Source organism: Homo sapiens, chromosome 16 (genome assembly GCF_000001405.40).
Source record: "Homo sapiens chromosome 16, GRCh38.p14 Primary Assembly".
Lineage (NCBI taxonomy): Eukaryota > Metazoa > Chordata > Mammalia > Primates > Hominidae > Homo > Homo sapiens.
Genome location: NC_000016.10, coordinates 78,286,927 through 78,304,504, shown reverse-complemented (window position 1 = coordinate 78,304,504; position 17,578 = coordinate 78,286,927). Strand labels below are relative to the sequence as shown.

General features: G+C 41.2%; 1 protein-coding gene across 2 annotated transcripts in view, besides 3 other annotated features; it reads right to left on the bottom strand.

The window, feature by feature from the left end:
• WWOX (WW domain containing oxidoreductase) overlaps positions 1-17,578 on the bottom strand; it is a 1,113,014-nt gene that overhangs the window by 908,163 nt on the left and 187,273 nt on the right. The window lies entirely within an intron of this gene.
• Positions 225-725: an enhancer, noted in NCBI's record as "H3K4me1 hESC enhancer chr16:78337677-78338177 (GRCh37/hg19 assembly coordinates)". NCBI's record gives its function as "activates a minimal SCP1, AML or CMV promoter by ChIP-STARR-seq in naive H9 embryonic stem cells {active_cell/tissue: H9 hESC(naive)}" and the evidence as "EXISTENCE:reporter gene assay evidence [ECO:0000049][PMID:30033119]".
• Positions 726-1,226: an enhancer, noted in NCBI's record as "H3K4me1 hESC enhancer chr16:78337176-78337676 (GRCh37/hg19 assembly coordinates)". NCBI's record gives its function as "activates a minimal SCP1, AML or CMV promoter by ChIP-STARR-seq in naive H9 embryonic stem cells {active_cell/tissue: H9 hESC(naive)}" and the evidence as "EXISTENCE:reporter gene assay evidence [ECO:0000049][PMID:30033119]".
• Positions 16,468-16,637: an enhancer, noted in NCBI's record as "experimental_46108 CRE fragment used in MPRA reporter constructs". NCBI's record gives its function as "activates a minimal promoter by MPRAs in K562 erythroleukemia cells, with activity observed for the non-introgressed 16:78321850 variant allele {active_cell/tissue: K562}" and the evidence as "EXISTENCE:reporter gene assay evidence [ECO:0000049][PMID:34662402]".

Sequence of the window (17,578 nt, the reverse complement as noted above, 5' to 3'; positions counted from 1 at the left end):
AGACCCACCCTAGCACTATGGGTGTGCTGGAGTTTGCAGAGACTATTTCTGAAAGGATTCTCATTCATCTGAAAATTCTAGAAGCCTCTGCAGAAGGCAACAGCATGGCTGGAAAAAGTGGGGAAACCAAACCTCCACACTCACCCTTTCCATCGTTTGAATGTTGAACAATGTCAATGCATTAACCTAATTAAAATTTTACAAAAAAGTATAGCATTCAAAAAGGTAGAAAGTAAAAGGCTAAAGGCCTATGCATTAGAAAGGAGAGTGAGCAGAGGATGAGTAATGATGAGAATCAGATGTCCTGGTTATTAACGAATCCCTCAGATAACAAACAGCTGATCGGGAGAAGAGGCCACGGGAAGGAAACACTTTGGGGAGGTCATGACTCAGGTTTCTTGGAGAAGGAGCACCGAAGCTATGTTTCCAAATGTTCAGAAGAGGAAAAATAAGTAAACAAAGGGCTGGCTCCTTTAAAGCTCCTTGGCTGAAACCTCAGGGCTAGTAAAACTATTTCATGCTAATTTAAAAGGGCTCTAAAAGAAGCTGCTAGAATTGCGTATAGATTCAAAAGCAATAGCTGACGGCTTGGCTCTTTCCAGAATAGGAGTGGGGGTGGTGGTTGGCACAGGGCAGTGGTGGGAGAAAGAGCACGGGTCTGGCCGGGCACGGTGGCTCACACCTGTAATCCCAGCACTTTGGGAGGCCAAGGCCAAGTGAATCATCTCAGGTCGGGAGTTTGAGGCCAGCCTGACCAACATGCAGAAATCCCGTCTCTACTAAAAATACACAATTAGCTGGGCATGGTGGCGCATGCCTGTAATCCCAGCTACTCAGGAGTCTGAGGCATGAGAATCGCTTGAAACCGGGAGGTGGAGGTTGCAGTGAGCCGAGATTGTGCCATTGCACTCCAGACTGGGCAACGAGAGCGAAACACCATCTCAAAAAAACAAAAAACCAACCAACAAACAAAAACAAAAAACAAAAACGAAAGAGCACAGGTGGTGAAAATTTGAAAAGTGGAGCTCAAATCCAAGCTCACTCAACTCCCTAGTTCTGGATCCTGATTAAAAGCAACGTCCATGAGCTCAGTTGCTCAAGTTTCATGTCTGTGTAGGCTGTTCAAGCTCCTCTTCAACCAAGGCTGGTACCTAAAGCGCATCAGGCCTGGGATTAAAAAGACCACAATGAGACCAACATAAAAAATACTTCTGATTATTACTTGGATGTCTTATTTATTTATACTTTACTTTGTCTATCAGAAAAAGAATTTGTCATTGCTTAAGTAACATAAATTAGAGATAGATTTTATTTAAAGTAGGGGAAAAAAGGGCAAAGATATAAAATGTAGTTAAGAATAAGACAAATACTCTATACCTTAAAAAGTGAGCAACAATTCTGATTCTAAGCATCCTAGAAGCTGCTGGACTCCCTGTTTTAAAGGGAAAACCAGCTGTTCCAATAAGAGCATCTATCTTCCCAAATGAAAATCCATATGGAGAGTTCTCCCAGGTCCTCTGAGAAAGGCTCTGGGTCTGATGATGTTCTAAGCCTTGTCTTCAACAAGACCATTACAGTTGATAAAGTAGTGAGGTCCACAGGGAAATTTCCTGCAGCAACCCAGTAACATCAAACCAAAGCCAAAGGTTTGGAGCCAGGAAAGGGGCTGAGGGAGCTGGCAAATTGCATAATACCTAAAACTCTTAGGAACCAAGAGATATGCCAAGTAACAGGTAGCAAACTTAAATGTGTACAGTGTCTTGGCAAGTAGCAGGAGTGTGTAAAGCTGCTTCGACTGAGAAGGGAGACAATAAGGTATGGTGGAGATTGTGGCAAAGTAGAGACCACATGCCCTCTACTCAGCACTGGCCAATTGTTACCTCCTCTTCCAATTTTCAAGTCTAATGGGAAAGCTATATTTTTATATGAAACCTCTGAATTGGCATTTCTCTCAGCATTTTTATTTTGTTTTTACATCATGTGTGGATAAGACAAAACATGTCTGCAGGTAGGCAATATCTCCTGAGGCAGTGGAATGGTCCACTGAGTTTTCTCCTTCAGAAATAAAACCTATAGCTGTGGCTTGTCTCTGGGCTGGGGCAAGACAAGGCTGAAAAAGAGAGGCTGAGGCAACTTCTGGGAGTTAGTTGATAATTAATCCTAAAACTTTTATAACTGATATATTTACCTGTCAAATTTCATGGCTTTGGGAATATGAAAAACACATCTACAAACCTCATCTAAGGCCGGGCACAGTGGCTCACATCTGTAACCCCAGCACTTTGGGAGGCCAAGGCAGGCAGATCACCTGAGGTCAGGAGTTCGAGACCAGCCTGGCCAACATGGCGATACCCCTTCTCTACTAAAAATACAAAAGTTAGCCGGGCATGGTGGCAGGCGCCTGTAGTCCCAGCTGCTAGAGAGGCTGAGGCAGGAGAATCGCTTGAACCCGGGAGGTGGAGGTTACAATCAGCTGAGATTGTGCCATCGCACTCCAGCCTGGGCAACAGAGTGAGACCCTGTCTCAAAAAGAAAAAAAAAAAAAACACCCTCATCTAATTTTAGAATGTTACTTTGATGTATAAACCAAACTTATGGGTAGAAGAGGCCTTACTCTGTGATCTAAGATATGTTAAATTCCTGCCCTCCAACCCCAAGAAGGTGGAAGAAAGGCTCAGTCCTAACCCTAGGTAACGTAATCCTGAGGCCTGGCGGTGTGTCTGTTACCCAGTGCATCTGTGCTGTAGTTGAACCATCAGTGACCAGAGACAGTCCTGATTTCCAATTCTCAGTCTTTCTTAGACTCTAATCACAGGCAAACAGCCCTGAGGTCTTGGAGGGTTTGTTTTTTAACCTGAGACTTGAATCTTCCTTTCCAGCTCAGAGCCGTGGGAAGCCTATTCTGTTAGAGATAAACAGAGTGCACGCCCACAATTCTAATTAACAGATTTTTCCTCCCTCTTCTCCCATGTTTCACCAAAGGAAACCAGCTTCTTAGCTGGGCCAGAAGTCAAAACCAGATTCATAAAGGTACAACAAAATGTACAAAACAATAAGTTTCCTCAATGAAAGAAAAGTATGAAAAAAATAAAGAAAACCTTGGTAGCCGATAAAGAAAATTAGTAGTATACACAGTATCCAGAAAGGAGCCTTCCCTCTAACCCTGATCCCTGAAAAAAACTCTTTAATAAACAGACTAATAAGATACAATACCAAATGTAATGTGTGAACTTTACAGCCTGATTGAAAACAAAAAGCTATAAAAGACAATTTGTGAATAATTCAGTAAATCTTGTTATGGACTAGGTATTATTTTATGTTAGCAAATTATTACCAATTTCATAGACATGATAATGATGATAGTTGTGATTACGTACAGCAATGCCTTTAGTTTTAGGAGATGCCAGCCAAAGTCCTTAAGGGTAAAGTTTGTTGATGTCTGCAACTTACATGCATGGATGGATGATGGATGGATGGATGGATGCATGGATGGATGGATGGATGGATGGGTGGGTAGATGGATGGATAAATGTATGGATGGATGGGTAAGTGGGTAGTTGGATGGATGGACAAAGAGATGGACAGATAGATGAACTGACAAAACATGGCAAAACATTAGCAACTGTTGAGTCTAGGTGGTGAACATATGGCCCCTGGAGACACTGACAACCTACAAGTTATATGCTGGTATAAAGGACAAATCCCTAAGAGCTGTCCCAAACAGAGTCAACTTTTAAAAATAGTTTCCAATCATAATATTTCAGTGACAGGAGAAAAAAACGTTATCTTGATGGTAAAGGATTTAAATTTATGGCATAGCTGAAAATGGTTACTGAATTGAAATCATAAAGTAATGAATCATTTCCCGAAAAAGTCAAGCCATTAGTAATGCCATTGCATGAAAAACTATTTGGAGATGTCAGATGCGAAAGGAAGAGAGGGAAGGGAGGGAGAGAAGGAGACAGGGGAAAGAGAAGAGGGGAGAAGGGAGAGGGGAGAGGGAAGGAGGGAGGGAGGGAGGACAGGCATGGCAGGAGGAATCACTCACTCCTGAGATTAGAGAATAAAAAGGTGGCAGGTGACACAGACATGTTATGGCACCCACTGAGTAACGGCCTCCACTTCACGCTAGCTTTCGGAATCCTCTAGCCAAGAATTTTCCTTTCCGAGGGTCACTCTTCTGGGTTCTTCAGATACGGATGACAATATGACTAACACCCATATTGGAGACAAACTATTTAACCTAGCCTCAGAATATTCTCCATGTATCTCCTAGGCTCCTAGGTTTTGAAGACTACCTTAGGAAATTATTGAATAAACGTAGATATCTTCTAGAAGATTAAATTACTTTTTAAAAAGAAAATTGAACAGACTTCATGATTCTGTTGGAAAAAAATCAAGCTATGTCTTAATTTCTACTCAATTCTTTCTGTTTTAAGCACTGTCCTTCTTATAAGATGCAGCAATCTGTATTTCTCAAAGATTCCCTTGTAGGCAGCTGTTACAGATGAACCAACACTGCGGCCAAGCCTTTTAGACTTCACAATCTCTTGGACTCGGCAAGATGGTCCCTGCCATCTCTCAATACACAGTAGTGGAAACAACCTGCCCCAAATTTTAGTCCAAATTCTTAGATCTCAACTTTGATGTCCTGCTTGACAAGAAATAGGATTTCCAGGCCAGTGCGGTAACTGACACCTGTAATCCCAGCACTTTGGGAGGCCAAACAGGGCACAACACTTGAGCCCAGGAGTTCGAGAACAGCCTGGGCAACATGGCAAAACCCCATCTCTACTAAATATACAAAAAATTAGGCGGGCATGGTGGCACAACCTTGTAGTCCCAGCTACTTGGGAGGCTGAGGTGGGAGGATCACTTGAGCTTAGGAAGTGGAGGCTGCAGTGAGCTACGATCTTGCCAATCTCGCCACTGCACTCCAGGCTGGGTGACAGAGCAAGACACTGTCTCCAAAAAAAAAAAAAAGAAAAGAAAAGAAAAGAAATGGAATGGAATTTGAAATCACAGCTCAACAGATGTGCAGAAATTAGGGAGACATCATAAACTGATTCAGCACATTGATTTGTACTTTTGGGCTCAACTATTCTTGGTTGTTTTCATTAATAAATGTAGGTAATCAGGGTTCACTCTACTGAAGTGATGAAGAATTTATGCATACCAAAGACTCTGAAGGTGAGAAGTGGCCAGGCACGGCAGGAGGAAGCACTCACTCCTGAGATTAGAGAATAAAAAGGTGCCAGGTGACACAGACATGTTACGGCACCCACTGAGTAATAGCCTCCACTTCACGCTAGCTTTCGGAATCCTCTAGCCAAGAGTTTTCCGTTCTGAGAGTCAGTCTTCTGGGTTCTTCAGATACTGATAAGAATATGACTAACACCCACACTGGAGACAAACTATTTAACCTAGCCTCAGAATATTCTCCATGTATCTCCTAGGCTCCTGTGAAACCAGAATGCTGGCTGCAACCCAGCTCATCCTTTTTGGCGTAAACTTTCTTCGAAAGAGGAAGGGCAAGGAACAGGAAAAGGAAGAAGAAGAAAAGGGAAAATAAGAACACTTGTCCGGTAGCAATAAGAGAGCTAACAGTTACTGAGGCCTTACTATGTCTCAGGGACAGTGTTAAACAATGTAAATGCATGGTCTTGCTTAATCCTCACAATCTAGAAGGACATAATTTTTTTTTTTTTTTTTTGAGACAGAGTTTCGCTCTTGTTGCCCAGGCTGGAGTGCAATGGTGCGATCTTGGCTCACCACAACCTCCGCCTCCCAGGTTTAAGCGATTCTCCTGCCTCAGCCTCCTAAGTAGCTGGAATTACAGGCATGTGCCACTAAGCGTGGCAAATTTTATATTTTTAGTAGAGGCAAGGTTTCTCCATGTTGGTCAGGCTGGTCTCGAACTCCTGACCTCAGGTGATCTGCCCGCCTCGGCCTCCCAAACTGCGGGGATTACAGGTGTGAGCCACTGCACCCAGCTAGCTGTGACTATTATTAATCCCAATTTACAGGAGAAAACCGGGACTCATAAGGATTAAGCAAACTACCCAGGATCACACAGGCATTGAGGGGCAGAGCCAGGATACAAACCCATGTCTATCTGAAACTGGAAACCCCAAAGTCTTAGCTACTCTGCCATATGTGGCCTTCCAAGTCATTCTTTTTGCCTATAGAGCTCTTCTCATCTCCTAGCTCGAGATCCTGCCTAAGAAAGATGGCCCAGTCTGCAGGCTGTTTGTGATCACCCCTGTATTAGTCCCTTCTCATGCTGCTAAGAAGAAATACCCAAGACTGGGTGGTTTATAAAGGAAAGAGGTTTAATTGATTCACAGTTCTACAGGGCTGCAGAGGCCTCAGAAAACTTACATTCATGATGGAAGGAGAAGCAAATATGTCCTTCCTCACCTGGTGGCAAGAAGGAGAAGAAACAGAGAAGTACAGAGCAAAGTGGGGAAAAGCCCCGCACAAAACCATCAGATCTCATGAGAACTCACTCACAGCACGGGGGAACGGTCTCCATGATTCAATCACCTCCCACGAGGTCCCTCCCCCTAGCACATGGGGATTACAATTAGAATTCAAGATGAGATTTGGGTGGGGACACACAGTCAGACCATATCAACTCCATATGGAAAAATGGCACCTTCCCTGGAACTCCTGCACAGTTTCCTTGTACCATGTTTAAGGCTATTAAAGGGAGGGTTTTATTGCCCATACTAGGATATAAAGACAGGTCATGACTTTTGTATTCCACCATGCATAGGTCTCCATAGGCTCCCAGTTCGTAGATTACAAAATAATGCTACACTGCATCAGTCCGGTGCTCCGTCTCCAACAGTTGTGTCATCTATGTTTGGTGGAAGAACTGAACATTTTAAGAGTTAAAAAAATGGCATTTGTTCAATAAACATTTATTCAGTCCATAATACATTCAAATTTGTCAGACTCCAGCAGTCTACTCGAAATTGTCAGATTGCCTCTTAGGAAGAAACTAAATGGCATATTTTTTTGGCATCAAATGGAAATCACTACTTAATATGGTTCTACAAATGGCAGACTTAAGGCATTTTTTCCAAATTCTCCACCCAAAGCTGTGGGGGATGCTGTTGGAAGGCTCCCTACATGATGCCATAATTACTAGAAAATGGAAAAATCCAAGAAATATGGGGCCATGGAACAGGGTTCAGGGACTAAGGGCAACTGTTGATCCATGCAAAGATCAAAGCTGTGCAGAAACCATTCTCAGGTTTACACAGCTGCATGCTCCGTGCGAGAGCCGTAAAATAAACACAATCTGGATGGGAGGGAAAGGTCTTGTGACTAGGAGTGTGTGGGTGTCAATGACTCCCCAGGATACCAAACGAACCCAGAGGCCAGAGAGCCACCTCACTCCAGGGCTAGAAAAAGAAACTTGTGCTCTTTTCCAACCCAGGACATATTTTTATTGGGCCAGATAATTTTACCAATTCAGCCTTCAAAAATATAAGAAGAGAAAGGGGAGAGAATCATTAGCAAATAAGCAAAAGATTTCTTGACTTTAATAAACACCATCCAAAAAAAATGAATTGCTCAAATCTTAATAATCTGAAGAAGAGAAAGTCTCTGCTCCAGCTACTCTTATTTGGTTGCCATGTACAACAACCGAACGAGACCCAGAGCTCTCAAAACTCCTTTAGGTGCATCAATTCCTAAACTAAATAATAACAAAGCCATATGTTACTTTATTTTTAGATATGAATTGCTGTACAATGCACAAACACAACAGCAGCTCCCTGCTACCATTTGGATTCATTAAAAATAAAATCATCTCATAAGCTTGCAAATGTTGATTTTTTTTTATTTTTTTGCATTACAAAACTTTCATATTTCCCCTGTGTACAGAGTATAATTTCTGTACATGGTTGTTCTCAATGTCTTGAAGTTGATATACATGTACTACATGTAATTTTAGAAAATGAAAATAATAATAATAATATATATACATATATATATGAATTCCTGGTTTCATGTATTAGAAAACAATATGTTTTGCTCATCGAAGGCGCCAATATAAATGCTATAAACCATGAAATTACCTTTGAGCCCTTCCTGAAATAACCAGTTCACAAACAAATGATCCATGCAAAAAGGCAAGGGGAGATTACAATAATAAGACTAAGTTACATTTTCATTTCAGGAGTTTTTTTTAATGTAAAAAAGTATTATTACCAGAAAACCGACATCTGTGGCGGTACATCCAATTTATAAATTTATATAGAAAGCACCAAACAATACAGATAGAGTGAAGAAAAAGACATTCAAAGTAAGGCTTTACAAATTTCCCAAATGTGATACAGAACTCATATTTACAACAAATTGCTTCAATAAAACTTTTGGTTTTCCCACTTCGAAGAGCTAGTTTTAAAGCAATGACAGCAAAAGCATTTTACTAAAATAACTTTGATGCTTTTCATACTCAGAAAATAAGATTCTACCCTAGTGATGACCCAAAGAAGCTGCAGATGGCAGGAATCCTACCCCATGAGTCAATACTCTGCAGCTGAAATTAGCAAAGCCCTTCATCTAATGTGATACCCAAACAGGCATCATCATCAACATCATCTGGGAACTTGCTAGAAATGCAGATCTTTGGGCTGCACTCCAGAAGTTCGAAAATAAAAATGCTGGGGGCGAAGCCCTGTGCTACGTGTTCGAAAAATCCCTCCATGAGATTCTGGTGTCTGCTCATTTGGAGACAAGTTTTTGTTTGTTTGTTTGTTTGTTTGTTTGTTTGTTTTTTAAGACTGAGTCTTTCTCAGCCACCCAGGCCGGAGTCCAGTGGTGCGATCTTGGCTCACTGCAACCACCATCTCCTGGGTTCAAGCGATTCTCCCATCTCAGCCTCCTGAGTAGCTGAGATTACAGGCACTTGCCATCATGTCCGGCTAATTTTTGTATTTTAGTAGAGACAGGGTTTCACCATGTTGGCCAGGCTGGTCTTGAACTCCTGACTTCAGGTGATCCACCCACCTCATCCTCCAAAAGTGCTAGGATTACAGGCGTGAGCCACCACACCTGGCCTTGGAGAACCATTCTTATTCTGATAATGTAAACAGCCAGTGTTGGAGATAATAATGCTACTTCCCCTAAGATCATGCATAGAATCCCCAGTGGTTCCTCCATATTGCTCTTAAACTCGCCAACTGCTGTTCCTCCCTATCCAGAAAATGGCATCTGAGACAGCTTGATTAGCACATTTCAGTCTAGATTAATCCTCGCCACTCTCTCTGCTCTAACACATCTGATCTGCAGGGTTGTAGATGATACATCTTCAGCCAAGACCTCAAAATAAATGAGAGGTACTGGTTCTGACAGAAGCCAAGGGGACATGAGACTCCTGGATTTCCTCCAAGATTTAACCACCATCCTCCTACAGCGGCCCCACAATACCTAGGACACAGGCCAGGGTGAGCCTGTCCTGGGCAGGGGACAACCCAGACTTCTGAGCATGGCCTACCAGGAGACCTTAGAGCCTTTGTGTGAAATCCAAATAGAAAACAAAGTAGAAAGTCGCGTATCTCCTTGGGGCCGAATCTTGTTCTTGACCCACTCATACATTCATTCATTTGTCCATTCATTCATTCATTTGTTCATTTAGTGTTCATTAGTTTGTTCATTCACAATCAACAAATGTTGACCAAACTCTCTTCTTCCCTCCTTCCCATCCTTCCTTCCTCCTTTCCTTTCTTGTCTCTCTCTCACCCTTACCTCCCTCCCTCCTTTCCTTTCTTCCTTCCTGCTGGGAACATAAGGCTATATCCAACTATCTCATCATGGAGTCACATTATAAGATTTGCAATAGATAGCTGTATTTAGACTATCCTTTTACAGACCTCACAGCCTAGTGGGGACATACATACACACACAAATAGATAATTATGATAGAATGAGGTAAGAGTAAAATGGAAATCTGCATCAAGGAGTATAAATAAGAGATGACTAGGGAAATTGTTTTGTTGAGAGGGACTCACACACAATACAGAACTTGTAGAACATGGCTCTTATAGAACAAGTAGAAGCCAGCAATATTGGAAAGAGGAGGTGTTGGTGGGTTCCAGGCAGTGGCAAGACCAGGAACAACATTTTTCTGAGTGGAAGGGGCTCATCAGTTGCAAGCTCTTCAACTCAAGAAATATGCACCAGTGCCTCTGCATCTGCAACCCCGGCACTGGGCTTGGCACAGAGATGTCAAGGCAGGTCCAGAGAAGAATCAACTGGACAGGTGGTTAGGAACTCGTGGAAGGAAGTCAGCTCTTGAGGCAGGGAGAATCCTTATGGCTCTATCTGAGCAACCCAGACAAGGAGAAAGGGGAGCTGTCCCACCCAGGGACCAGCAGCAGAGGACAAATGGGCAGAAGGCACAGCAAGGCTGTGTGGAAATCCAAATTGCTAAACACGAAGGGATCCGAAGAGGCCTGTGAATCACCTTTCAGGAAAGCCTTTTTTTTTTTTTTTTTTTTTTTTTTTTTTTTCTGAGACAGAGTCTCACTCTGTCGCCCAGGCTAGAGTGCAGTGATATGACATCGGCTCACTGCAACCTCTGCCTACCAGGGTTCAAGCAATTCTCCTGCCTCAGCCTCCTGAGCAGCTGGGATTAAAGTCACGTGACAACACACCTGGCTAATTTTTGTATTTTTAGTAGAGACAGGGTTTCACCATGTTGGCCAGTCTGGTCTGGAACTCCTGACCTCGTGATCTGCCAGCCTCGGCCTCTCAAAGTGCTGGGATTACAGGCCTGAGGCACCGCACCCAGCCACCTTTTAGGGAAGTCTTGAATGAAAACAAAGGTTTCTTTGTGCTTGGATGAAGTCCTACCAGAATTGACCGGATCAGACTGAAATGGAGATTCCACTTTATGACCTACTAAACAATTCTCCCACCAGCACGGGAGGGGAAAGAACCTCCAATTGCCCAGTTCCCGCTCAGAGGAGAAGACAAGTGATCCATAGAGCTTAGAACCACCGTAAGAAAGAGGGACGACATACAGGAGAGAAGAGAGGATGTGTAACCCAGCGAAATGATGCTAGGTTATCCCAGGGGATACAGAAGAGCAGGGACCATTTCTGTTTCTAAAGATGCCTGGACTCAGTTACAAAATCTGGCAGGAGAGAGTGCAAAGATAATCAACCCTTAATGCCTGCTTATTAAGCACCATCCAGCTCCCAGGGAGATTTACAAATATCCTCCTTGTTAATTCTTGCAACACCAAGAGGTAAATGTATAATCCCTGTTTGGCAGCTGAGTTAACTAGTGGCTCAAAGAGGTGTGGCCACTTGCCTGGAGCCACACAGCTAGAATGGAGGAGGAGGTGGCTTGTGTCCCAGCCTGATTCCAAAATCCAGGAAGAATATGATCTAAGTAGAGAGGCGAAAGAAAGGCTCAGATACCTTGGAGGCTAAAGTGGTTGACAGGTCAGGCCAAGAATGCTCCAAGAGCAAAGGACCAACAAGAAATGGTGACTTTTCCAGAGTCTGTTCAACAAGGGTGGGGAGGGGAGGTGTCTCCATGAGGCTGTGAAATTTCCTCACACTCTGGCAGAATACCTTTGGCCTGGATCACTGGCTTGAAGATTCTGATTTGGAATCCTCACCCTCCTAGCCCATCCTTGAATACCTTACAAAGTATTTTAATGAAGTGCACATTCAGCTCTACAAATAAGATCTGTGTGAATCTATTTGGCTCTTCTACGAAGCCCTCCAAACACTTTAGGGTAAGGGCAGCACATTTAAACTTAATGGAATTTCCTGCCTTATTTAGCAGTGCCAGAATTGCTCCAACATGTAAATAAATTTAGGAAGAGCTTTATTTTTCTTCCTTTTTTTTAAAAAAAAAAGATATAGAACATAATCTTTCAACTAAATCCTAATTTAAATATTCTAAGTCCGACAGATACTTATTTGGACCATAGAAATACTGCATGTGGGTGTAATGTGGATTGCATGCATAGCTATAAAAAATACTTGGCTCTGTTATTTTCTTAAAATTGCTGTGTTGTTACCATTTTTATTGGGTTAATTAAAAGACCATAAAAATCCATTCAAACATGTTTGGAAACAGATTTGCAAATTTCATAAAATGTGTTCAGTTGTTAGGCCAAAGATAAGAAAATGACAGACAGCTCTGTACTCATCACTTTGACGTATTCAATCTTTCATTCTTCTAACCAATACCCCTTACTATGGGCCACGCCTTAGGATAGGAGTTGCCCCTGCCCTCATGGCACCATCAGTCTGGTGAGAGACAGAAACTGAAGGACATCATGTAGATCAGAGGGTGGCAAACTTTTTCTGTAAAAAAACCTGAGGTTAATGAGCTGAGATTGCACCACTGCACTCCAGCCTGGACAATAGAATGACACTGTCTCAAGGGAAAAAAAAAAAAAAAAAAGGTAAAAATCATCCTCATCTCATAAGCCATACAAAAAACAGGTGTTTCACAGAATCTGACTTTGTTACACAGGGAAAGGTACCATCTTATGGTTGACCCAATATCCAGAAAAGATCAATCTGGGATTCCCAGATGCTAAGTCCACTGGGCTTCTCTATCAATCCCGAAGGCACAAAAGGGGAATTCCCTCCCTCAGCTGGCGGCCATCAGACCTCTCAGCTCACTGCAAAGATGGCTTCTTGCCTGGTTTCAAGGAGCGGTCTTTTGGTGACTTTCCCTGCTCCCTGGTGGCCTTGGAAATATGCCCCAAACTTGATAAAGTGCTAATTTTGCTTTTTTTTTATTTATTTTTTACAGCCGTTGTGTAACTTTGATAAAAAGCCAAGCCAATCCTTTCTGAAAATCCCAAGAAACGTTAGCCCACAGATTGAAACCTGGGGATCCAAGTTACAACCAGAAGGCAATTTTCATGGTCAACTTCTAAAACTATCCAAACAGCGGTTTCAGACCGAAATAATAAGAAACCTCTGCAGTTTTCCCAGGTTCCCAGTCCTGCCTGGATTGCTGAATGGCAGCCGCCAGCCAGCTCAGTTATAACGACAGAAACATAACTTAGTTCACGTGAGTGGCCTTCGCGGGCAAACGTTCAAGAACATTAAGGTTTTAATATAATTATAATTATAGAACATGTTCAGCCAATTAACCACAAATATGCTGTTTATCTGAAAGGCCGCCAACACTGTGAAATGCAGTCAAAATAACATTAGGCTGTGGTCCTTAAGCAAAGAATACACATCGAGTCAAAAGAGAGATCAGAATGAAAAGGCCAAAATAAATATTTTATCTGCTATTTTATGAATATTTCTTCAAATGTCAGATAAAAATATGTCATCTCAACTTCCCATATATTTACTTGATGAAATCAGATTAAGTGAGTTCCATGACACTACTGAAAAACATCATAAACCAAAAGAAGAAAGAGAGAGAGAAAGTGCACTGTGTAAACTTGGCAGCCACGGCATCCTAACACCAGCCTAAGTATAATGTAAATAAGAAAAGGCAATTAGAACAAGTCATATTTCTTAAAGGGTTAAGAAACTGCTCATCACTCCTCCTACCTTTCTTAGTTAGTCTTACAGGAATTTAAGCAAAATTAAACTTTGCCTTAGCAACGAAATAATATAAGCCTTCTCATAACTTTCTCCTATGAAAGAATTTTTAAAAAAAGAACCTAGTCATACCATTTGTATACGTACAATTTGTACTGCTGTAAAAGCACATTTTGAAAAGTGCTCCCTAAATAATTAAGCTATTCCTTTTACCATACTTCCCATATTACAGAAGTCATTTTCCCACCAAGAATCAATAAGTCATTCTTCACGTCAGTCATTTTTCTCCATTTAACGGAATGGACTAAAGTCCGACACGGCAAGTTACATTACCTTTGAATTATGTGTGTAATTTAAAATTCAAAGTACTACACTAAGGAGCTTTTTAGACTGACCACTCTACACTCTCTTCATAAATACGGTCCCTTGCAGACCCTTCTGACAGATTTACCGAACAACAGGAGTTTGAAACAGTTGAGCCTGTGAGCCCTACAGGAAAGCTGTTCTCTGTAACAATGCCACAAAAACTACTCTCTATTCAGAGGAAGCACAAAGAAAACTGTCATACATCATTCACCAGGAAACAACTCTATGTTTCTAGATTAATGGTAAAGCCATTCTCAAGCATCTTAACTTTAATTACAAATAAACATGGGATGGGGGGTGGGGGGGGGAACGAGGAGGGAGCTGATATCGACATGTCCGCTCGCAGAGTGCTCGCAGAGTGCTCTCTAAGTAAATGTTGCCAAGTGAGTTTTGTTTGACCAATTCCAAGGCCTCGGATTACACTTCCAGTGTAGAAACCCCAAGTAGCAATGCACTAAAGACACTGTCATTCGTTAAACACATCACAAGGCACAAAATATGCAGAGGGATATATAAATCAAAAATGCTTAAAAGTGTGTGTGTGCACATGAATGCACAGTAAAAATGTAATAAAAGTGACATTAAAAACCTTTAACTAAATTCACGGGCTGATGTACTTCTGATTATAAGTAAAATACAATGACATCATTGCTTAGAAAAATTTTTTAAGTGGCTACTAAAAATGTCAGTGAACATTCTTAAATTTGCAATGTACTGACACTGTAGGCCAGTAAAACCTTTACAAAAACACCTATCAAGCAAACGGCGTTTCTCTCTACAGCCCATATTATTTTATTCAGGACCTCCTCTAAAGGACCAGACCATCCTAGCCAGTATAAAAGAAAACAAGACTGCAATGTTGTATTTTCAAATATTGTTTATTTAGAAAACAAAATAGGTTTGATTTTACAATTGGAATCTGTGTATATAAACTTAGGTCTCTTATTCTTCCCTTCGTTCATGAGGTGAATCATTTACCTTTAGGGGAGTTTTATTTTTTTCCCCTGTTACTGGTCACAGCAGGACAGCGGAACCGATTGTTGGGAAAAGTACTTCCCTGGCTGGATCCAAGTTACAGGGTTTCTCAGACCAAGTCACTGTAGAGTTGCTACCCTGTTCCTTCCCACTACCCTGCAGCCTAATAATCTTTTTTTCCCCTTTTTTTCATTAGTAAGTAATTCTGATAACTGTACACTTTTCCTGATGTGGAACAATCTTAGACTATTCGAGCTCTACTAAACCACTCTAGGACATGCCTTCTTTGGGTCATCAAAAATCAACTCTCCTCGCCTAGGTTTTATTCTTGCCAACTTAGCATTCCCACGGCAATTCACTAAAAACGCCTTAAAAAATCATTAGCTCTCATTTATTCAACTTGAACATCAGCATGGCCTGAAGCTCGGGAAGAAACAGACTGGCATAGTGACGCTGCCAGCACCAAGTAAAGTTTTACCTCCCAGCGCTCCAGGTTCCCAGCAAGACTTCCAGCCAGGGCTGCCTTCCACTCCATTTCAGCCTGGCACCCTGACTCTCGCTCTACCAGCTGTTGGCACGCCTTGTGTTAACCGAGAATTTGTGAGAAAAGCAGAACCTTCCCACTGCGTGTTAGTTTTGCTTGGCAACACTCAACAATCTCAAATTGGAAGGCCCCAAGGAAAATTTTTTGTTGTTGTTCTTCTGCCCCCAGGATGATTTTTTCTTCTTCTTCCTGAACCTGTTTGGATTTTTTTCCACTTAAAAAATCTAGCAGCCCCCACCTAACTGATGGATACTTGTAGGTAAATGACTCTATCTGAGCAATGATGCGCTGACTGGGCCTATAAATTATGACCCATTGTGGTTAGTTCAAATAAAAGGAGGTTCCGATAAAGGAAAACTGACACTCGGAATTTTCTCTCTCAAAAAGGATGATGTCTAGGGATGCAAAATTCAGGAATATAAAGAGAGACCTTGCAAATGTATCAGGCTCTTCTAAAATACAAGGGATTGGTATAAAATTGTCCTGGTGAAATCAAGGGGAAGCACACAGGACTAAGGAAAGAGAGGCAAGAAATATATTTCTTCTCCTTTGCAGGGAAAACACTGCATTGGGAAGAAGCTTGCTCTTTCCAAATACATTCCATTAAATTGACAACCACAGCCACCACTGCCACCACAACAAAAATCAGGCCAACCTAGATCAAATTACTAGGAATAGGTCTAATGTTACTTTTATGACCATGAGGTCCTGGCCCTCATCAGAACCTCTGGGTTACCCGTCCTATCACTTGGTAATGAATTTCATATATGTATGTGCTGTTAAAGCAAAAAAAAAAAAAAAAGTAAACTCATAAATAATTCATCACACTGTCTCCTGCCAACTGATCATATATTGTTCATGTTTCACCGGCCATATTAAATAAAAATTTAAAAGTGTTTCCGTTTTTCATTTAAAAACCTAGTCTATAATTGGAGGTGACCACACGAAGTGTCTTGAAGGTAGCAGGCATTAAAAAAATCATTACTTAAATTGCACAGTTAAAAAATATTCATTAGAAATGGCTAAATTAAAGAAAAAAATGTTAGGGAATCTTAGGGAAATGTTTCTCCTAAATGTTGTCCCTAAAACTGCTTCACTCTAAAAATCTGTTTTGAGCGACCTGATAAAAGGGAAAGAGAGAGTTTCAGCTCAAACTCAGGAAAGAAAGGCTGTACCAGTTTCTTCAGAATGGAACATTAAAACAGGCCACTACTGAAACAGTTCTTGTGCCTTTGTGGCTAATTATTACATAATTGATCTTAAAAAAATTTTTTTAAGTTTAGGAAAAAAAATTAGAAGCCTAGTGAAAGTACCAAAAACACTGTAACTTTTTTGTTTAAAAATTTATATCATGAATCGAAAATCAGAGGAGATGGCCGTTTTGGCCTGGTCTCCGTCCTTTCCTTCTCTATTTTGATTGAGCCAGTCCCTTGTTAAGCCATCAGAAAACAGAGCACACTTAGAGCTCTTAAACTGCTTTAGACACAAAGAAAAAATTTAAAAGGAAAAAAAAAGCAATAATCGTGTGACATCTCAGAGATGATAGCATATACTGTTGTTTTGCTTGATGACGATAACACAATTCTTTTTGAACTAAGTATCTCTCTAGACTACAACTGGGTCAAAATTATAGATATTTTTTGTGGCCCTGGATGAATTTTCTATTTGCCAAAACTCAAAGGATTCAAAACCAGGTTGATGTCTAGTTAAAGATGATGCTCCAACTGCTTGAGATGCTAGTTCATTTCAACAGACATTAAGATTGAAGGAGTGTCATAGATTGCTTAGGCAATTAGAAATTTAAAACCGTTTCAAAGAAAAGAAAAAACAACAACAACAAAAAAGTTATGCCATAGGAAGCATGAAGCCTCATTTACTAAAGTGGAGAAATGTATTTTATTTTATTGTCCTTATGGCGTTGATTGCCAGTTCTGACACATATTACAAATTTCACATTGTTTTTCTGAATGCTGAGGTCAGACCTACCATAAGCTTGTCCCGTTGTATTACCAAATGGCTAATTCCCTCCCAGGTATTGGAGAAAAAAGTCAGAAGGGCAGCATCCTAAGAGAATGGGTGCCCAGTATGACAAGGAGCTGCTAAGATAAAATGAACTTTCTAACTAAAAACAGAAAAGAAACTA